Source organism: Homo sapiens, chromosome 7 (genome assembly GCF_000001405.40).
Source record: "Homo sapiens chromosome 7, GRCh38.p14 Primary Assembly".
Classification (NCBI taxonomy): domain Eukaryota; kingdom Metazoa; phylum Chordata; class Mammalia; order Primates; family Hominidae; genus Homo; species Homo sapiens.
The window spans coordinates 134117903-134138471 of NC_000007.14; the positions used below are offsets into that span (position 1 = coordinate 134117903).

At 42.3% G+C, this 20569-nt stretch overlaps 1 protein-coding gene across 12 annotated transcripts in view, besides 3 other annotated features; it reads left to right on the forward strand.

Annotated features, from left to right (window-relative positions):
• Window positions 9291-9340: an enhancer, noted in NCBI's record as "active region_26687". NCBI's record gives its function as "activates an Ori minimal core promoter by ATAC-STARR-seq in GM12878 lymphoblastoid cells {active_cell/tissue: GM12878}" and the evidence as "EXISTENCE:reporter gene assay evidence [ECO:0000049][PMID:35858748]".
• Window positions 9438-20569, forward strand: part of LRGUK (leucine rich repeats and guanylate kinase domain containing) — a 149346-nt gene continuing 138214 nt past the window's right edge. For all 12 annotated transcript variants that reach the window (XR_002956408.2, NR_174939.1, XM_024446659.2 and 9 more), the window contains exons 1-2: window positions 9438-9762; window positions 19121-19228. Coding sequence is in view for 10 of the 12 variants with exons in the window: in XM_024446659.2 (XP_024302427.1) it covers window positions 9466-9762; window positions 19121-19228 (405 nt within the window). In the remaining 2 variants the exon portion in view is untranslated. The remainder of the gene's footprint in view (window positions 9763-19120; window positions 19229-20569) is intronic.
• Window positions 9451-9720: an enhancer, noted in NCBI's record as "active region_26688". NCBI's record gives its function as "activates an Ori minimal core promoter by ATAC-STARR-seq in GM12878 lymphoblastoid cells {active_cell/tissue: GM12878}" and the evidence as "EXISTENCE:reporter gene assay evidence [ECO:0000049][PMID:35858748]".
• Window positions 12016-12750: an enhancer, noted in NCBI's record as "OCT4-NANOG-H3K27ac hESC enhancer chr7:133814671-133815405 (GRCh37/hg19 assembly coordinates)". NCBI's record gives its function as "activates a minimal SCP1, AML or CMV promoter by ChIP-STARR-seq in naive H9 embryonic stem cells {active_cell/tissue: H9 hESC(naive)}" and the evidence as "EXISTENCE:reporter gene assay evidence [ECO:0000049][PMID:30033119]".

The window sequence follows — 20569 nt, forward strand, 5'->3', positions numbered from 1 at the left end:
GAATGTAAAATGGTGCAACCAGTGTGAAAAGCTATATGGCATTTTCTAAAGCTAGAGTATTGCCATATGGTCTAGCAGCTCGACTTATGGGTATATACCTCAAATAATTGAAAGAAGGATCTTGAAGGGATATTTGGACACCCATGTTTATAGCAATATTATTCATAATAGCCAAAAGGAGGAAGTAACCTAAGTGTCCATTGACAGAAGAGTGGACAAGCAAAATGTGGTCTATCCATACAATGAAATACTATTCAGCCTTAAAAAGGAAGGAAATTCAGACAGAGGCTACAACATAGATGAACCTTAATGGCGTTACGCAAAGTGAAATAAGCCATTAACAAAAAGGCACATACCGTGTGATTCCACTTATATGAGATATTTAGACTAGTCAAATTCATAAAGGCAGAAAGTAGAATGGTGTTTGCCAGGGAACAGGGGAGAAAGGAATAGGGAATTATCGTTTAGTAGTAATGGACTTTCAATTTTGGAAGATGAAAAGAGATCTGGAGACAGGTGGATTGCACTGCAATGTGAATGTATTTAATGCCAGTGGACTATATACTTAGACATAGTTAAAAGGTAAATTTTATGTTGTGTGTATTTTACCACAATGTTTTTAAAGGCTGTAGTATTAAGAGCAACTCAATACCTAAAGAGTTAAAATCAAATTTCTCTAAAATGGTTTTTCTTCAAAAGAATTTTGTAAAAGCCCATAAATCACTTTCTGAATGAGTTTCCAGTCAAGATGGACTCTTTAGTAGCTTGATTTGCTCAGGAATGAAAATCACAACGTGACAAAGTGAGAACTTCTTGAGGACGCCTCAATAATGAATGACTTTGAAAAATGCCCTACGTCTCAATTTATTTATAATGGAAATACCAAGCCTTCTCAAAGCTGTTTGTGTCTGCAAGACTGTATATGTACCAGTAAATAATTCAAACACAAAATCCCTCACTTTGATATCTAAAGGCAATGAGGGGCACAGGTCAGGCTTCTGTCTTATTCTTCACATGGCAATGGATTTTTGTCCTCCAGAAATGTTGCTGATGTCCTGTGTCTCACCAGAAGGCCCTGTGTGAAATGACTCAGGGTGTGATTCTCTCTTTATCATACTCTTTCCATTTTAAACATTTAATGTTTGATTTGAAGGGGAAAGAATTTCAAAGCCACTCCTTGTCTACTTGTACTTTTTCATGATTATCATATTATTTCTATGTACACCCTAGACTTTGTAGTATTCTTAATGGTTTGCATCATCACAAACCTTAAGGAAGGCTGGAACACTTTCCAGACAGTGGTGCATGAAATGGCGGAGGATGTTGAAGCAGAGCATCCATGAGGCCTGCTTGGCTGGATGGGAAGGCTGGTACAGCAACACTCAGAGATGTAAGGTTTGTTCTTTCTCTTTAAGAGATTCCAAAGGACTTTCTGTTTGCTGTGGTTTAAACATCTCCTCCAAAACACATGTTGAAACTCAGTTGCCATTGTGGGGTGTCAAGAGGTGGGGGCCTTTGGGAGGTGGTTGGGCCATAAGGACTCTGTCCTCATGAATGGATGATGTTTTTATCATGGGAGTGGGTTAGTTATTTTGGGATTTTGGCCCCCTTTTCATGTCTTGTCTTGTGCCCTCTGACTCTCTCTTGCCCTTCTGCCTTCTGCCCTTTTACTGTGAGATTACCCTTGCCAGATGTGGCACCATGCTCTTGAACTTCCCAGCCTCCAGCACGGTAAGAAATAAAATTATTTTCCTTATAAATTACTGTCTTTGGTATTCTGTTATAGCAACAGAAAAAAGACTAAGACACTGTTCTTTACTTAGAAACTTCCCTAAGTGTTACACGCTGTGATAATTTTGTCAATTTGAGTGAGACATGGGGTGCCTAGATATTAGGTCAAGTTTTATTCTGGGTGTGTCTGTGAGGGTGTTTCTAGATGAGATTAACATACAAGTGGGTAGACTGAGGAAAGCAGATTGCCCTTCCTAATGTGGTGTGTTTCATGCAATTAATTAAAGACCTGAATAGAACAAAAAAGCTGAGTAAGAGGAAACTTTGCCTGGCTTCTTGAGCTAAGACTTTGGTCTTCCCCTGCCTTCAGACTGGCACTTACACCACCAGCTCTCCTGCTTCTCAGGCACTTGGACTTGTACTGGAATTGTACCACCTGCTCTCCTGAGTCTTCAGCTTGCCGACTGAAGATCATGGAATTCTTAATCTTCATAATTGCATGAGCCAATTCCTTGTAATATGTATGTATGGATCTATAGCCTATTGTATTCATTCTGTTTCTCTGAAGAAACATCTTCCATCCTATTAGTTCTGTTTCTCTGGAGAACCCTGACTACAAATACACTTGCATTGTGGGAAAGATTTGCAGCTTCTTTTTTGGCCTTATAGCAGCAAAGATTTGTTTATTATGGAAGATAGTACTTACAGTAGCAAAGACTAATATGAAACTAATCACTTCAGTGAGAGTCAGAAAATAAAGTCTTTTACTAACCATTGAGTGAGACTGTAGGCATCTCACATCCTATAGACATCCAGATACCATATGTATAAGTTAATTTTTACTGCCTTTCAAACTATCCCAAACATTAGTGGCTTAAAATAGCCATTGATTTGGCTTATGATTCGTGGGGTTGCCTGAGCAGTTCTTCTGGCCTGAGTCATCTCAACTGATTTTTACTGTGCTCCCTCATAAATCATTTGGCAAGGCAGCTGGTACCAAATAATCCGGGCTGGCTTCATTCTCATGTCTGGCAATGGGATGTGGTTAGCCAGGCCCATAAGGGAAGCTGGTCCCAGCATCTCTTGTTATCCCGCAGGCTAGCCTAAGCTTCTTCACAGGGTGGTCCCAGCATTCCCAAGAGCAACAAGAACGAGCAGCCAATGGCCAAGCATTTGTACCACATTCGCTACTGTTCTTTTGGCCAAAGCAAGTTTCACGGTCAAGCCCAGATTCAAGGGGTAGAGAAATAGACTCCACCTCTTAACTTGGAGGAGCTACAAAAGTCACTTTGCAAGGGTTGTGCATGCAGGGATGGGAAGAATTGGTAGCTGTGTTTGCAATCTAGCACACTGAATCAGCCAACTTTACACTCATCTCCTTTAACTTTTCCTGTAACCTTGGAAGGTAGGCATTCGGGCTGGTTTGGATTAGATCTCAGGTCTGACTCTAAATGAGTCCTGTTAGCCCCTCTGAATGCTAGTTTGTGTCTTTTTAATTCTTTGGAGGCTTCAGAGTCTCAGCACTCCTCTCTGAGACAAGCATCCTGATCATTTCATTCCAAGCACTTATCTGCACAGATGTCATTTCACTTAGGAGGAACCAAGTAGCAGATGCATTTGGCATAATCACCATAAAGATAACTTTGTGAGCAGTCATCCATGTTTATAAAGCACACCACTATGTGCAGGAGATTTTTGGCAAGAAAGAGGGATATCCTTGTGGGAGAAAAGTAACTGAGGAAGTTTGGATACAAGGTATAAATAAAAGTTCTGTAAGGTGCCTAAAAGGTACAGTAGATCACAGAAAACAGAACCTCCTATTAACCTCATGGGAGAGCATCATCTGTGTGTAATAGATGTCACGTAAGACCAGGAGTTATAAGGCTCCTGCCTTCCGCTCACTGTTGTCAGGACCTCTACCTGTGCCCATCTTTTCTTCCTTTGTTTTAACTCTCATCTCTAGATTCTGCTTAGACATTTGACACAATTTCCTCCTTTTCCTCACTCATGTCCCTTTTCTTACAGGAAGGCAATACCCTCCTCCTTCTTCCGACTTGCTGTGAGCAGAGTTTATTTCTATATTATTAATACAGAAATACCAAGGCTACTCAAAGCTGTTTGTGTTTGCAAACTAGGACAGACTTCCCAGAGACTTCCTACAGCACAGCACAGCCAGCCTCCTCCCCTTTATCTCTACCACTTCCCCTTCCCAGAGTGCCCACTTCCTTCTCCTCTTTCAGGGTCTCACTCAAGTCTTACCTCTTCCCTAAAGCTCTTTAGCAACTCTCTCTTGGGACAGATTTGACCCCAACTGAGATTTTTCTCTTAACTCCCCTGGACTGGCTCGAGCATTGCATTATCTGAGTCCAGGATTGAGCCCCGTCTGCCAACAGTGGTAAGGGGAAAGTGATGCCACTGCTGCCTCCAATTCAGTTCCTCCCTGAAGACCTGTAACACAACTCCAGACCAATCAGGCAGAACCTATCTCCTCTTGTATACTTTTAACTTAATATGTTTGATGTAGGTGTCCTGCTGCTCCAACAATAATGCAAATCCCTTGAATAAAGAGACTACAACTTTAACTTTTTCTGTATCCCCAGTGCCTGAAACAGCCCTCTCTGTGTAGTAGGGCCTTATAGGTTGTATAACCAGTTGCTGATAATGATGACTTGGGTGTTACCTGTGCTTTATATCAGAGCCTGCATGACTTGCTTTTCCATAAAGCAGCACTGTTCCACACTTGTTCTTAACTAGATTGTGTTGCTATTTTTGAAGTGTATGCACTGTGGCAGGATTTCTTGAACCTTTCATGTAACTGTCTTCTATTTGCTCTTCTTCCTGTTTTTATTATTCAGTGCCACTGGGACCCTTTAGTTATTAAAACTTGTGTCTCTCAAGCACTTGTACCTTTTACCACCTCCTGTGATTATTTCTTCCTGAATTTCTCCTCGTCTTCTTTGATCTCCTGACTGTCCTAGGGTAACATTCTCAAGTCCTCATATCTTCATCCCCAAAAGATTTCACACAGTCCCTTCTGGTCATCATTTTAATCATTTTGATCTTAAGTCTTTGTGACTTCCCTGATGATATCCAGTTTTCTGTCTGCTAAGATAATCTGAGCTAGAAATTCTCAGTAATCCTTATCTAGTCCTGTGTTCAGATTTTATTCACAACGTGATGCTTGCAATTCCTTTGCAACAATTCTTCATTGGCTTAACTTTTTTTGCCTTAGTCTCTGAGCTTTTAAGATTATCTTTTCCTGGACTGCAATTTTTATCTTTGATCTCAACACCAGTATCTGATCTGGGTTATCTATTAGTGGGGCAACCTACAAAGCACCTTTGATATCTGCTAGGATGGATATTATTTGGCTCAGTCAACTTCTGCCTAGACTTTATCGGATCTTATTAGCCCAATTACTTATGACAATTATAATCTGAATGTAGCTGATTCCTGCAAAGGTAACACATGCATTCCTCATCTGTTGTTGGCTTTTCCCAACTTTATAATCATGAGGCTCAAAGTGTTTGTCTAACATTTTAAAGGGCCCCTCTCCATGGTACTGGGTCAGGGCTACAGGTGAAATTCTCATGGCTCCTAGGTTTTCCCTCCTTAGCCCATATGACAAATAAAACGACATGATTATTAGTGTAATTGTTTGCTTAATGTCTATATACCCATTAGGCTTTTATGAGATAATAAGCTTTCTTTTCTTCTTCCTAGAAAGGGATAAGAAACCATCAAAGGATAATGTTAATTCATCAAATTATCTCAAATTTAAGGTTCTCCTCCATAAAGTTTTACTGAAGCAGTTGAGTAGAAGCACAGTGTTTTGATTAAGGATGTAGGCTGGGAAACCAGACTTTGTATCTGAGTCCTAGCTTTGTCACTGTTTGACACAGTGGATTGAAGGGTTACATGACCTCTCTATGCCTATCCTTCCTCATCTATAATATGGGAATAATAATATTAATCTGTAACTTGTAGGGTACCTATAGGGATTGAGTTTATATATGTAAAGCACTTAGTTGTCTGGCACTTAGCAATTACTCATAAATATTAATATGGTTGTGTTTTAATTGTTATTATTATGTTAATACTAATGGTGCCTTCTATTGTCTATCTTCTCTCTTCATTTCAAGGTGTTCTGTAAAAATTACAGTGTTCCATAAAAAATCACGGTGAGTTTGAAGTGCTGCCATCTCAACTTGTCTGAGAAGCACTGTTTGTCCTTGCACAAAAGGGGTGTAAGTATGTACAGGGGAAGGGGACACACATTCTTTGCCTTGCCCAAGGTCCACACTCCTGGAAAGGCATTCTTTCCAAATATAGGCAACAGAAGGTGCACCTGGCCTCTTCTTTCCATTCTGAATGAGGTTAGGTGCTGGCTCCAGACTGGGAGAACAACTCAGTTGCACACAGAAGAGTTTGAGGTAAGTAAGAGTTAATAATAACACCAACACAAAGATACCATGAAGCTGAAGCTGGAGTCAGCACCCTCTTTCTGACTTAAGCTCTTTACCCCTTTGGTTCTCCCTCCAGGACAGCCTATCCTGGATGCCCTCTCAAAAAAGGCACTCTGAGAGTATCATCATGTCACTCCTCTACTTTCTCCTTCCTCTCACCCAAGGTGGCAAGGATCCAGGGCTATCACAAAAAGACCCTGCTCTCCGGAATGATCATATCCCACTGTCTTTGCCCACCTCACTTCATTCCCTGGTCCCAGAAACCTGAGATCTTCCTGCCTGCTCCAACACATACACACACACGCACATGCACACACACCCCATTCTCACTCACTCACTCTCTCCCATTTTTAGTATCTCACCAGGGTCAGGTTCTCTATGCCTTGTGATAAGTTCCTGAGAAACTAATTCATACTTTTGGAGAAAGAAGACTATTAATGGTTAATTTCAGGGGCTTTGGAGCCAGGAAGACCTGAGTTGTAATGCCACTTTAGATACAAATTTTGTAACTGGGCAATTGCTTACCATCTTTGGGCCTCTTTCTTCTCCTTTGAAAATAGGGATGTCAATCCTCTTTCAGAGGGCCGTTGGAATAATTAAACGAGATATGTGTATAGCCCTTAGAACAGGCCTGGTTTACAGTAAGCAATGAATAAATGGAAGTGATTATTGATGTTTTTGTACTAATGAGAAGAGTTTAGAATAAATATTTCCTCCCCTCACCTTCTCTCCCTCTGTCTAATTCTGTCTTCTCTGCCTGATAAAATAACTTGTTTTATGGATACAACGCCTTGTACTTTGATGCCCAGAATCCCAAAGTAGGGATTCTGTTAGTAAAAGTCCAGCCTAGTGAGCAGTTTGGTGAACTAGCAAGAGTAAAAATTGAGCAACAAGAGGTCTAGACACTAATTCCTGCTCTGCTGCTAACAAGCCAGGCAATTTGGGGCAAGTCATTAGCCCCTGAAGGCTATAATTTCTTCTATAAAAAGAATTGGGATAAGATGGACTTGTAGGTTCCTTCTGTTTTTTATATTTTATGGTTCTATATGAAAAGGTTTTTCTCTGAATGAATTCTTTTATTGATACTTAAAAAACCTTGGCTGATGTATTTTTTCTTCTGAGACCTCTTATTGCGTAGCTTTATCTTGCCTCATTTTTTTTCACACGCAAAAGGGGTAGTTGAAGGTGAACTGTGGAGTTGATCATTCTAGGTTTGGATTTCAGTACCACCACTTGGCTTTTGGCCAGTTATTTAACCTCTCTGAGGCTCAGTGTTCTCATCTGTCTAATGAGGATGGACAGAGGGTAGATGTGAAGATGAAAGGAGGCAGAATTCTTAGACTAACCTCAAAGGCTATAGTTTGATTGTCCTGTAGGACATTAACCAGTTTTGTCTATAACTTGGCAAACTTATTTCAGAATGTCTTTTCTCATGGACTCTGAATGCCTGATTACTATCTTCCTGATTTCTTCATTAATTAGTGAGTCTAATAGAATCTTTCACATGTGCTTCATTCTATTTTTTATATAAGAATCCTGTTTTTAACTTTTTGAAAATTATTCTTTGACTGCCTTCAGACACTCTCCTCGATAGACTGACATAGGCGAAACTCACTAGAAATGCTGATTAAGTTACTGAAAAAAAGAAAAACCACTTTGGGAGGCCGGGGCGGGCGGATCACGAGGTCAGGAGAGCGAGACCATCCTGGCTAACACGGTGAAACCCCGTCTCTACTAAAAATACAAAAAATTAGCCGGGCGTGGTAGCGGGCGCCTGTAGTCCCAGCTACTCGGGAGGCTGAGGCAGGAGAATGGCGTGAACCCGGGAGGCGGAGCTTGCAGTGAGCCGAGATCGCGCCACTGCACTCCAGCCTGGGCGACAGAGCGAGACTCCGTCTCAAAAAAAAAAAAAAAAAAAAGAAAAACGATCGAGATTTGCATTTTTACACTTTCTGCCTGATTCTTCCCTATGTCACTTAGCCGAAGCCAGGCCCTACGAGGGTAAGGGTGGGGAAAATTCCCTTGGAGGAATCTCTACTTATTGGAAAAAGAAATAAGCAAAAAGCAAGATGAGCCTGGCAGAAAGAGATATTTTGCTTGTGGCCTTTACATTTATGACTAGCAAGATAATGAAGGAAGGTAATTCTGAAAGCTTTATGTCAGTTTTAACGGTCCCTCAAGCACTGAGAAAGATAATCGTCAATGGATGGTGTCCATAAGGATTTTTTCTCCTTCTCCCCTGACAGCCATTGACAGGATCATTTTGTATTTGCAACTGCTGTCATTGAAGCGTGCAGAAAAGGCCCTGTAAGGCCAGAAGGATGAGGGCTACTTCCCTGCAAGGATCTCTATTGTCATCACTATGGCAATAATAGTTACTATAATTTTCATTCTGCTTTTCTATAGAGTGTCGACGTTGTGGAGCTTAAGGCTATGGGATTTGGGTCACATAAAATCACACTAGCATAAAATCGTGCTTTGTTATCTTGAAAGAGTATTTTTTTTAACTGCAAAGAGAGCCTGTGCAACAAGATTAAAATAATTGCCAATGCAGGTCACTTGACTAATATAATTATTTATGGGATGCTAATAGCTTTTCAGACGCTTTCAGATACAGTGTCAATTTGACAGCAGTTTTTTCTCTCTCTGTTTGGATTGTAAGACCACTGCCAGTTTTTCTCCCCAAGGACAAGGCTTATCATTGGGGGGTGGGGGTGGGGAATGTAAATTAATTGGAAATCAGCTCTCAGGCGTCGTCTGGTAGTTTCTCTTTATTATCTGCAATTAAATCATAAGGACAGGAACCATGCCTTCTATTTCACTTATATGCACCCTCATCTCCTAGCGTCGCGCTTTGCATAAATTTCAGTGGTACTAGCTTTCCTACAGACTGCTTTAGAGACATTAGACACTTCTAAAGTACGACTCTGCGGAAAGAGCCCTTTGGGAATGAAGCGGCAACGGTGGCGCACCTGCGATCCTATCGTGGGATGACAAAGCTCTAAGAGGGGTCTCAGGGTAGGGAGGAAACAGCTGGAGACAAAGAAAGGGGGTGTAGCGAAAAGAGGTGAAAACAGGAAAGATAAGCGAACAGAACAGACCAAAGAGAGAAAAATAACAGAAGAGACTGAGAAAAAGAAAAGTCAAGTGGAGCGCCCACTGCCCCGCCTGCAGAAGGCGAGTACGCGCGGAGGAGACTACAGGCCCCAGAATCCTCCGCGGTTCCCCTTGCCTGGGGTCAGTCTCCTAGGCAACCCCGCTAAACAAGATGGCGACCTCCGAGAGGGCTCTCCTGAGGACCAGAGCTGCCTCTCTCCTGAGAGGCTTGGGCAGATCCCGAACTGGAGCCCGATCGTTACAGTTTCGCGCAGAAAAAGAGCGTCAGCCTTGCTGGTCTTTTCCCATGGGGCAGAAGACGAAAGGCAGCTCTAACATAGCCTCCTCCTACCTGCTCCAGCAGCTCATGCACCGCTATCAGGAGCTGGACTCGGACGGAGATGAGGACCAGGGCGAGGGCGAGGCGGGATCCGAGGAGTCCTCAGAGTCCGAAATGCTGAATTTGGAGGTGTGTCTTCCCCCCCACCCCGTACTCCCTGGCTCCCTCGTCCAGCCCTGTTACTTCAGCGGCAGCTCCCCGATGCACCCCCACCAGCCCGAAGCTTCCCACACCTTCTCAGGCTCTCTCGCCTCCAGGAACGCCTCTTCCCCCTCTTTTCTTCCCCTGTCTTTTACCCCGTTTTCTCACCCCCTGCCTGAAATAGCTCTAAATAGTTCCTTTCTTTTTTCATTAACACATTTGATTTCTTATGAGTCGAGTTAACACAGCGTCACTTTGTAAGAGTGTCTAGATAATTGTCTGGGAATTATGGCTTTAGCTTTTTCAAAATTATACTTTGACAGTATTGTGAATAGGCAGAGTTCATCTCTGACATTGCCAGCACCTGTTGCCCATGGCTATGACATACTTCCACACTCTTCCTCAGTTCTAGTCCCGTCAGCCTCCCTCCAGGAAAAAAAAAAAAAAAAAAATCCGCTTTTGAAAGTGCTTCTTCAAAGACTAAGTGACTTAAAAGTTGAATACATTACTTCTGTCGGGGGCATATGCCTTATACAAGCAACATGCACACACACCAGAAAAGAGCCTTATAATGTTCGAACAGCCAGCTCATTGTGGGAATATTTTAGGATGTGGGGAATGTTCCCATCATCCCACCCATATTGACTGGGATGGCGGCTTCGCGTTTCACATGACTGCCATTCCCTCCTTTCTACAATATCTCTTCTGACCACCACACAATTCCTCTTCTTTCTTATGCTTATTATGGTCCTTTTCCTTTCTTAGTCCATTGTTGTCTTCTTGTCCTTTTCCACTTCTCATCACATCACTTCTTTTCTCTTGGCTTCTAATAAATTGCTTTCTTTCAAAAGCGTAATTTAATTTGCTTCCTTTCTATTTTGTTTATGTTTTTGAGATGGAGTCTGGCTTTGTCACCAGGCGGGAGTGCAGTGGTGCGGTCTCCGCTCATTGCAAGCTCCACCTCCTGGGTTCAAGCGATTGTCCTGCATCAGCCTCCCGAGTAGCTGGGACTACAGGTGTGTGCCACCATGCCCAGCTAATTTTTTATATTTTTAGTAGAGACGAGGTTTCACCGTGTTAGTCAGGATGGTCTTCGATCTCCTGACCTCGCCATCCGCCCACCTCTGCCTCCCAGAGTGCTGGGATTACAGGCGTGAGCCACCGCACCCGGCCTAATTTGCTTCCTTTCTTTCAATACACTGTTAGGTTCTTCTCTTTGTCTTGGCTGCCAGGAAACTTAGATTCAATAGTTTTTCTTAATTTCAAAGTTTTCTTTAGGTTTTTTCTCCCCTTTCCTTTTCCTTGGCAGTATAAATTGCGTGAAATTCTTTTCAGAAGTAAATATAATATAGAGAAGTAGAATATTTTCTTTTCTTTTTTCTTTCTTTCTCTTTCTTTCTTTCTCCTTCCTTCCTTCCTCCCTTCCTTCCTGCCTTCCCCTCCCTCCCTCTTTCCCTCCCTCCCTCCCTTCCTTCCTCTTTCTTTCTTTCTTTCGTTTTTTCTTCCTTCCTTCCTTCCTCCCTCCCTTCCTTCCTGCCTCCCCCTCTCTCCCTTCCTTCCTTTCCCTCCCTCCCTCTCTCTCTCCCTCCCTCCCTTCCTCCCTCCCTCCACTCTGTCTCTCTTTCTTTCTTTCCTTCTTTCTTTCTTCCCTCCCTCCCTTCCTCCCTCCCCTCTACTCTCTCCTTCCTGCCTTCCTTCCCCCCTTTCCTCCCCTCCCCTCCCCTTCCCTCCCTCCCCTCCCCACCCCTCCCTCCCCTCCCCTCCCTTCCGTCCCTCCCCTCCCCTCCTCTCCTCTTCTCTCCTCTTCTCTTTCTTTCACAGGGTCTTACTCTGTCACCCAGACTGGAATACAGTGGTACAGTCATGACTCACTGCAGTCTCGACCTCCTAGTCTCAAGTAATCCTCCTGCCTCAGCCTCCTGAGTAGCAGGGACTACAGGTGTACACCAAAGCACCTGGCTAGTTCTTGTAATTTTTGTAAGAGACGGGGGCCTTGCCATATTGCCTAGGCTGGTCTTGATCTCCTGGGCTCAAGAAATCAGGCCACCTCAACCTCCCTAAGTGCTGGTGTTACAGGCATGAGCCACTGTGCCCAGCCTAGGATATTTTCAGTGCTCTCATTCTGTGATATTCTTCTGGTTTCCCCTCTTTACATCTTTGCATCTATTCACAGTCACCTTTTCTCTTTGAGGCCAAACATATTTCTGTGTTATGCCTGTTCCCTTTCACCAACTCCTTTCCTCATTTGTCTTATTTCTTCTTATTCTCCCTTCTCTAACCTGCGGTGTCTTCTGTTACTCTGATTCTTCTATTAACCACTTGGGTTCCCCTTCCTTTGTAATGTCCTTCTGTTCACTTTCAACATTTGGCCTGTTTCTTTTTTCCCTTCCTCATACCCCATTTTGTCTTTCCTCTTTTTTTACTTCCTTCTACATGAGCTAGTTCCCATTAGTTTTGCTTAAAGTTGACCATAGAAAGCTATTAATTATTCTATTCGTTATTACTTCTTTTGTCTTTTGTTGGTTTACTTTGCTATCTTTAACAGTGACTGTTGCAAAACTATAGCAGTGTTTTTGCAACTTTGAGATGTTTGTATGGTTTCCACCAGCTTCCCCCCCCCCCCAGAGGAATTCACAAATGAACCACCAGTGTACTTTGTTATTCTAATTAACACATAGCTCTTTGGCTATGGGGTTCATTAGCACCATTGTTAATCTGTCTTCAGTATGCCATTAACAAACCATAGAAGGGGTTGTCAAGAACTAGCTATTCCTTTTTGGCTTGTAAGACACATGTGGAACAGGTTCATTATTTCTTCCATTTACATTCTAAATATTAATTTTGTGTTTTTATTCTATTTTGGCTTTTTAGTATTGCACACATATTAATATGCTAAATAAACTGAAACAAAGTTTTAAAAAGAAACATTTGGAAATTCATGTTCAGTGATTTATTATTCCCATCTTAGCCTGTTATTCTCAGTTTATTATTCCCAGTTTAGCACCTTTGCAATGCTATCATGGTCACAATGATTACTGAGTGCCTTTAATGCAATTTGCCTTAAACCTCGGAAGCCCTTATGAAGTGAGGGAGGCAGTATGGACCACCTGTTCAAAACACTGCTGTTGGAATCAAAGATTTGTGTTTGAGGCTTGATTTAGCCTTTTGTCAGTTGTGAGATGTTGAGCAAATTACTTAACCTCTCTCATTCTTCATGTGGGAATTATAATAATACTTAAAGAATTGTGAGAATTAAATGAGATCCTATATGTTAAATGCTTATCATATATTTTGATACAGTTAATAATACAAATAGTAACTTACATGTTTTCGTCTGCTAACTACAGCCCATTAAGTGATTTGATTAATTTAGCCTTCATTGAACAAGCATTTACTGAATGATTGCTATGCAGAAAGCACTCGTTGACTGTACAGAGCAGAAGTTTCTGGGCCCAAAAATTGATGCATGAAAAACACTTCTTTTCAGTCCCTTTATATGGGTAATAATACCTACTCCTGTGATAGTTATGAACATGAAATTTAATAAGAAACTCTATATTTAAAGTTCTTACTATAGTGTCTGATACAGAATAGACTTTCAAAAAATTATAGCTGCAATAAATAATAACAGTAATGGTAGAAAAAGATGAGAACATGATTGAAGACATACATGGTCCCTGCTCTCAAAGTGAGATAAGAATGCGAGTAAATCATAGCAATTCAGCATACCTGTAGTATGTCTTACAGAGATGAGTACAGCTGACAGCTGGATTGCAGGGACATGGAAGACTTCAGGGGAAGGAGACTCTTGCCTGGGTGGAGAGGTGGTGTGTGGGCAGGCAGGTGGCAGCTTTTCCTACCGATGAGTTACAGGTGAGAACAGAAGAAGCCTCCTAGGTAGGGATGAGATTGTAGAGGGCACTGTGATGTTGTAGGAATATGGACTTTGTTCTCTACACAGTGGGGAACTGCTCTGTTGGCCAGGTGGTATTAGATTGGAGGATTGTAATACTGGAGGCAAGGAGATCAGTGAGAAGATTCTAGCAAAATCCAGGGGGAGTGAGAAGAGCTGTTATCTATCATAGGAATCAGGGACAGATGGAGCTATGCGTTAAGGAGTTGGATATATGAACAATATGACTGGAAATCAGGGGAGAGATCTCAGAGTAGGAGACATGGGAATCATCACCACTAGATTCTGGGAAATCATCCAGGAAGGGATGGGAGGGAAAAGGCCACGAATAGACCCATAAAGGTACAGATACCAAGGGTATTTAAGTGGTAGGCAGATGAAGAAGCAGGGAAGAAAACTGGGAAGGACTGGTAAGAGAAGTATAAGGAGAAAGAAGACCTATATGATAGGGAAGCCAAGAGTCTCAAGAACGTGATGACAGGGTGCAGTGGCTCACGCCTGAAATCCTGACACTTTGGGAGCCAGAGACAGGAAGATGGCTTGAGGCCAGAGTTTGAGACCAGTCTAGGTAACATAATAAGACCCTGTCTCTATAAAAGAATTTTTAAAAAATTAGCCGACCAGCCATAGTGGTATGCACCTGTAGTCCCAGCTACTTGTGAGGCTGAGGCAAAAGGATCACTCGAGTCCAGGAGTTCAAGGCTGCAGTGAGCTATGATCATGCCACTGCATTCCAGCCTGAGTGACAGAGAAAGACCTTGTCTCAAAAAAATAAAAAAAAAAGAAGATGGGAATGGGTTACGCTACAAATAGGTTAAGTGGGAAGAGGCCTAAAAAGTGCTCATTCATTTTGCCTGTTTGAGAGTCATTGGAGACATTGGCCCACGTGGTTTTTATGAGGTGGTGAAGTCAGGAGGCTAAGTGAAGTTGAAGAGTAGTTGGGAGGCGAGGAAAGGAGAACTAAGGCATAAAAAGCAAACAACTCTAGAGTAGATTGGTTATTAAAGGAAACTCTAGTTTATAGCTAAAGGAACCTGCAGGACTGAAGAAAGCCTCTGTAGGACAGAAGAGTCTAACACACTTGTATAGCTGGAGTGGGAACCACAGAGAATGGTGGGTTCAAAACACAGACAAAAGGGGGCAAAAATGGTCCCTGAGGAAAGAGAAGGGTGTGGGACCCTGAGTAGAGAGAAGGCACAGTCTTCCTCTAAGACCTGAGTGAGAAACATTAGGACAGGTGCTCCTAGGAAGCTGAGAGGGTTAACATCTGAGAGCTTCCGTTTTGCCTCAGAAGTAGAAGAGAAGGGCATTAGTGGAGAAGACGGCAAAGGAGTTGAGGCACTGCACAGCTTGAGAGTTATGGAGAGATGGGCTAGTCAAGAAGGGGAGTTGAAAAGGGGCTGATGAAGAACGGGAGACCGTTCATAGCAAAGAGGCCCAGCTGAAAGTCAGCTTTACAGGGACTCCAGGATGCAGAGTTGTGGGGTCTTCTCTAGCCCACTCAGCAGCTAGGGGGCAGATGAGGTGCATTCATTCATTCAACCCATGTTTGAGCACTCACCACATGCGAGGCACTGTTTGCCTCCTTCACACTTAGGCTTCAGCCATCCTGAACCTTCATCGTTCTCTCAATGGGCCATGCTTGCTTTTGCTTTTGGGATTTTGTACATGCTGCCCCTTTTGCCTGTAATACTATTTCTTGGCTTGCTTTTCAGCCTTATCTTCCCTTTTGCCAGAGTAACTCACAATTTGGGTCTCAATTGAATTGCTGTCTCTCCTAGGAAGATTTTGCTAACTTCTTACTCCACCCTGGTACTGACATACAATGGGGGCCCTGCTCATAGTCAGCAGACACTGCCTATCTCTATTATAATCTTTATCAAATCCAAAATTTGCTTGCGTACTTGTCTGTCTCCCAGACTGAACTGTAAATCCCTTATGGACAGGCACCATATCTGTTCACTGATTCACCATGTCTTATCCATTGAGCCAAGCACAGTGGCTGGCATGTGCTAGGTATTCTATAGAGATTTTTTTCCCCCTGATGAATGAGGAACATGACACAGTCCTGCCTCAATGCAGCAGTTGATTATGAACTTGATTCTGATTTGTATATGGATGGGGTAGTTGCAACCAGGGAACAAGGATCAGAGACTTGAAGATAGAGAGAAATTGAAATTGCGTATGGGTCCAGGTGCGGTGGCTCATGCCTGTAGTCCCAGCACTTTGGGAGGCGGAAGTGGGCGGATCACTTGAGCCCAGGAGTTTGAGATCAGCCTGGGCAACATGGTGAAACCCTGCCTCTATAAAAAAATTATAAAAATTAGCCAGGCATGGTGGCACATGCCTGTAGACCCAGCTATTTTGGAGGCTGAGGTGGGAGGATGACTTGAGCCCGGGAGGTTGAGGCTTCAGTGAACTGAGATCACAACACTACATTTCAGCCCAGGTGACAGAGCGAGACCATGCCTAAAAAAAAAAGAAAAAGAAAAAAAGAAATTGCCCATAGGCTACCCAGTAGGGAAGGGAGTATAGTCAGAAGGGAACAGATAGACTCTGAGAAAGGTGTCTATCTGTGAACAGACTGGAGATTTGTTGTGGTCAGTGAACAAGTTCAACAGGTGCTAGGTAGGTTGAAGGATAAGCAATTGTGGGATTAGAGAGAAACACTGGGGTCTGAGGTTTCCAGGGTGGAGCAGTTTAGCATGATGACTAGGTCCAGGGCATGGCCGTGAAAGTAAGCTGTCTGGAGCTGCGGCAGTAAAGAATTGTGCATGTGTGCATGTGCTGGCAATAGGGTGTTGGATGGCCACCCATAGGGATTCTGAGGCCACTCAGGATAACAACAGGAGCTTGAAAATGACCAAAGATCGGAAGGAGAGACATGATACTGCCAAATGTCAGGAACATCAGGAGGTGTGAGGAGGTTATTGTGCAGAGTGCTGCCTTCCCCAAGGAAAAATGGGGACAGCGTGGCTCATCTCCATGTCAATGGCTAAGTTGAAAAATAAGCATCCACCTGCTCTAAGTGAGTAAGTGAGGATGCAGTGTCTTCATAGTTCCAGGAAATGGAGGGGGCCAGATGAACTTTAAAGGGCTAGGTGGAAAGTTTGGAGGGAAGGTAACATTCCTTCCCAGGCCTTGTATAATAAATTAGAACTTTATTTAGAAAAGTAAATGTGTTTTGCCTATTTTGTGAACAGCCTGATTGGCATAGGTGAGTGAAACATTACGATGTGGAATTTCTGACTTCATCAATTAGTAGTAACAGAAATCGTCATCTATTGGGAACACTACGTTGCACATACTGTGCTGTGAGTTTTATGTCCATTTTTTTTTCTTTCTCCAAAATATTAAAAGAAGGTGTTGGGAAGGAATGACTTTCCCTCTACTCTCCTAGCTTTTATAGCTGGGTCTATAAAATAAACAGACAACAGGTGGATTAACAGGAGAAAAGGTATTATACATGTATTAATTTTGAATAAATTTGTAATATTTGTGGGGGACATTGCAGGAAAAAACAGAAGTGAATAATCAAAAAAGCAGTGAGATTTGAGATGTTATGTACCATCTCAATAGAGGAAGGGGAGGAGGGATGCAGGCCACTTAGGGGAAAGTAAATGCTTTTTAGGGAATGAATAGTCCCTTAGAAAAACAGATGCGGGGTATGAGAGTTTGTGACAAAGTCTGTCTTAGTGTGACATTGACTTCTGGTCTCCTCCCCTGGGTGGGTAAAAGTCATTCTTCCTTGTTTGATGAAACCACCGGAGGGGGGCAAATTTAGGACAACTGAGTTTCTTTTGGAGGATCTGCCTTGAGGCAGATAAAGGGAGTTCAGAAAGAGCCTTTCCCTGTGTTTGCTGTTTTTCAAGTGCCTTCAGCTCAAAATAATCAATATACCAACATGGCATATTTTACAGCGACATGTCCTGAACTTCTTCAAAGGTGATAACATTTCCTATTTATAGCTGAAAACTACCAGGCTCAGTGAAAACTTTACCTCCCCAAAGTCACACATCCAAAATGGCAGGGCTGGGGTTCAAGCCATGCCTGCCCAATTCTGAAGCCATGTGCTGCCTCCATGCAGGTGGTATTTACTTCCCTGAACCAGGCTGGAGTGTGGTGGCACAATCTTGGCTCACTGCAAGCTCTGCCTCCTGGGTTCACGCCATTCTCCTGCCTCAGCCTCCTGAGTAGCTGGGACTCCAGGCGCCCGCCACCACATCCGGCTAATTTTTTTGTATTTTTAGTAGAGACGGGGTTTCACCGTGTTAGCCAGGATGGTCTCGATCTCCTGACCTTGCGAACCGCCCACCTTGGCCTCCCAAAGTGCTGGGATTACAGGCGTGAGCCACCGCGCCCGGCAAGAAGCTCTTTATCATAGCACAAGCCTACATGCGTATGTCATCAGTACCTACAGCCAGAGCTGCATTGTTGGTTCCTGAATTCATATAGAGGACTTAGAAAAAGGGTATTTTGCCATGGTTATCTATATGCTAGTCATGGCTAGTTATGTCGGTGTGACTGATGTGATCACTTATGTTTTGTGTTCTCATGTTGATGTCAGTGTTAATGTGCTGGTCATTATGGAGTTGAAGGCAGCACAAACATAATACTGACCCACCTGTTATCTCTTTTGTCTGTCATTGTTGGAGGAAGGGCTTGTCAGGGTGCCCTTGGTTCTTGTGATGTCTATAGACCAAGGGCCAACCTCCTTATGGAAATGATCATCACCTTTTTAAAAATCTTATACATTTTATAAATCTAGCAACATTGACTAATAGGAAGTGAACTGAAGGACCTGTTTTCTCTACCAATCTGGCAAGAATACCAGATTTAGAGAGATAATTGCCTTAATTTGATGTAACCATCCTTTGGGGTGTGGGCAAGCAGTCAAATGCAGTGGTTAGGGCAGTTTGGGAGAATTGCCCTGGGACTGGACAGATTGGGATTTTCATTCCAGCTCTGTCACATACTATCTGTTTGGTTTCAGGCAAGTTAACCTCCAAACGTTAATTCTTTTGCCTGTAAAGTGGAGATAAGAGTAACTATCTCCATGTTGTCCAAAGGATTCAATGAGTTCATTCATTGAGAGCTGTTAGTACAGTGTCTGGAATAGAGAACCCCTCAATCAATACCACCACTGATACTGCTGCTTCTACTGCTACAATGTTCACTCAACTTTGAATGCCTAATGCAAGTGACCACCTGAAAAAAACAGTGGCAATGAAAACATTGATTTGGCAGATAGTTATTTAATTATATGTAATATGTATATGTTATCAACACAGAATTTTTTTGGGGGTTGGTAAATTTTGGAGAGCTCAGCTCCTGGGTATAAAATATACTAAATAAGTGCTGGATATGACAAGATAGATTGTTTCTTTTCTAATGAGAATCTTTTCTTTGTCTACCTTTCTGGGTTTTTTACAGGAGGAATTTGATGGGGTCCTGAGAGAGGAGGCTGTGGCCAAAGCACTCCATCACTTGGGGCGCTCAGGCTCTGGGACTGAGCAAGTCTACCTCAATCTAACTTTATCAGTGAGTATGACAAAATCTCCATTGGCTGGCTACAGCTTGACACTGGCTAGACCATATTCATTTTCTTCAGTACTCTTAGCTTTTGTGGTGACAGCAAATCTTGGAGCCTCGCATTTGATGGAGACTGGTGACAAGAGATATTTCTGTAAATATTAGACTTCAAAGAGCCCTGACCAATTCAGTAATCAGCCCCCCAAATTTCTTAGTTTTCATTCTCTTCACACTCTATTTCTTTCATCTTAAGTAGTCTATATTATAGTAATCAATGCTTTCTTTCCAGGAGGTTGAATTTGATTCTGTAAAACCAATCAAAGACTCTTTAAGAATTTTCTCTCTGATCAGTGGAAGAAACACTAAACTTTATATCTGAATCCAAGGGAACAAAGTATTTTGATATTGACTTTCCCCACTAAGTATGTCAAGAAATAAGAGGCTTTGAGCTATACCTTACTTTCCAAAAGATACCTATCATTAAAGAAAAAAAAAATCTATTATTATTCATCAGTTTTTAAGATTTCAGTACTCATCATAGAGTAGCACAAAACCTTGGCTTCAATTTTATCAAAAGAGAGGCTGTAAGAGCAAACTACTGGGAATACTTGCTTCTTTCCTCATTTTGTCTCTCTGTAGTCCTAGAAAAACAATTTAAGTCGTTGTGCCTCCTTATATTGTAAAGCATTAAATATTCATTGGAGATCCACAGAGTAAATTTAGGTACATATGAGAAAAAAAAAACGCACATTGAAATTTTACCATGGCACCATGATTTGGCGAAAGGGTATGTAATTCACTATAAGCCTGTTCTATCTTGGATTTGAATGAGTAAGCTAAGCAAGAAATGTTAAACTTTTTTCACCTTTGCTAGTTCCATGGGCATGTCCTTCAAGGTCAGCATATTAAAACAGTAATCTTTTTCTATTTTCACTTTGTAACATTTTATGGATGACTCAGCCAGTCAGGCAATAACATACAGGGAGCACCCTGTATGCATTGCACTGTGTTTGACGCTGGAATATGGTATATAATTCCAGCAGCCAGTGCATCCCCACACAAGCCCCTTTCAATCAATATTCTACTTCTGTAGGTAGTGCTATGCCTTAAATTGATCTACCCCAAAAAGCAATCCTTTAAATCTTATTTCAGCTGGATGGACTGAAGCTTAATTTATTTTGCCACTGACCTCCTTACATTTGAGATATTACACGTTGAATTACTTTGACTTAATAACCTGTCTTACTGAATACACTTTCTTAGAGTTGCCTAGTTTGGTGATTTTTTTTTCCTTTATGTCTTACTTATGTTACATGTTATTTTTTTTACTTTCTCTTATTATTTGTGTAC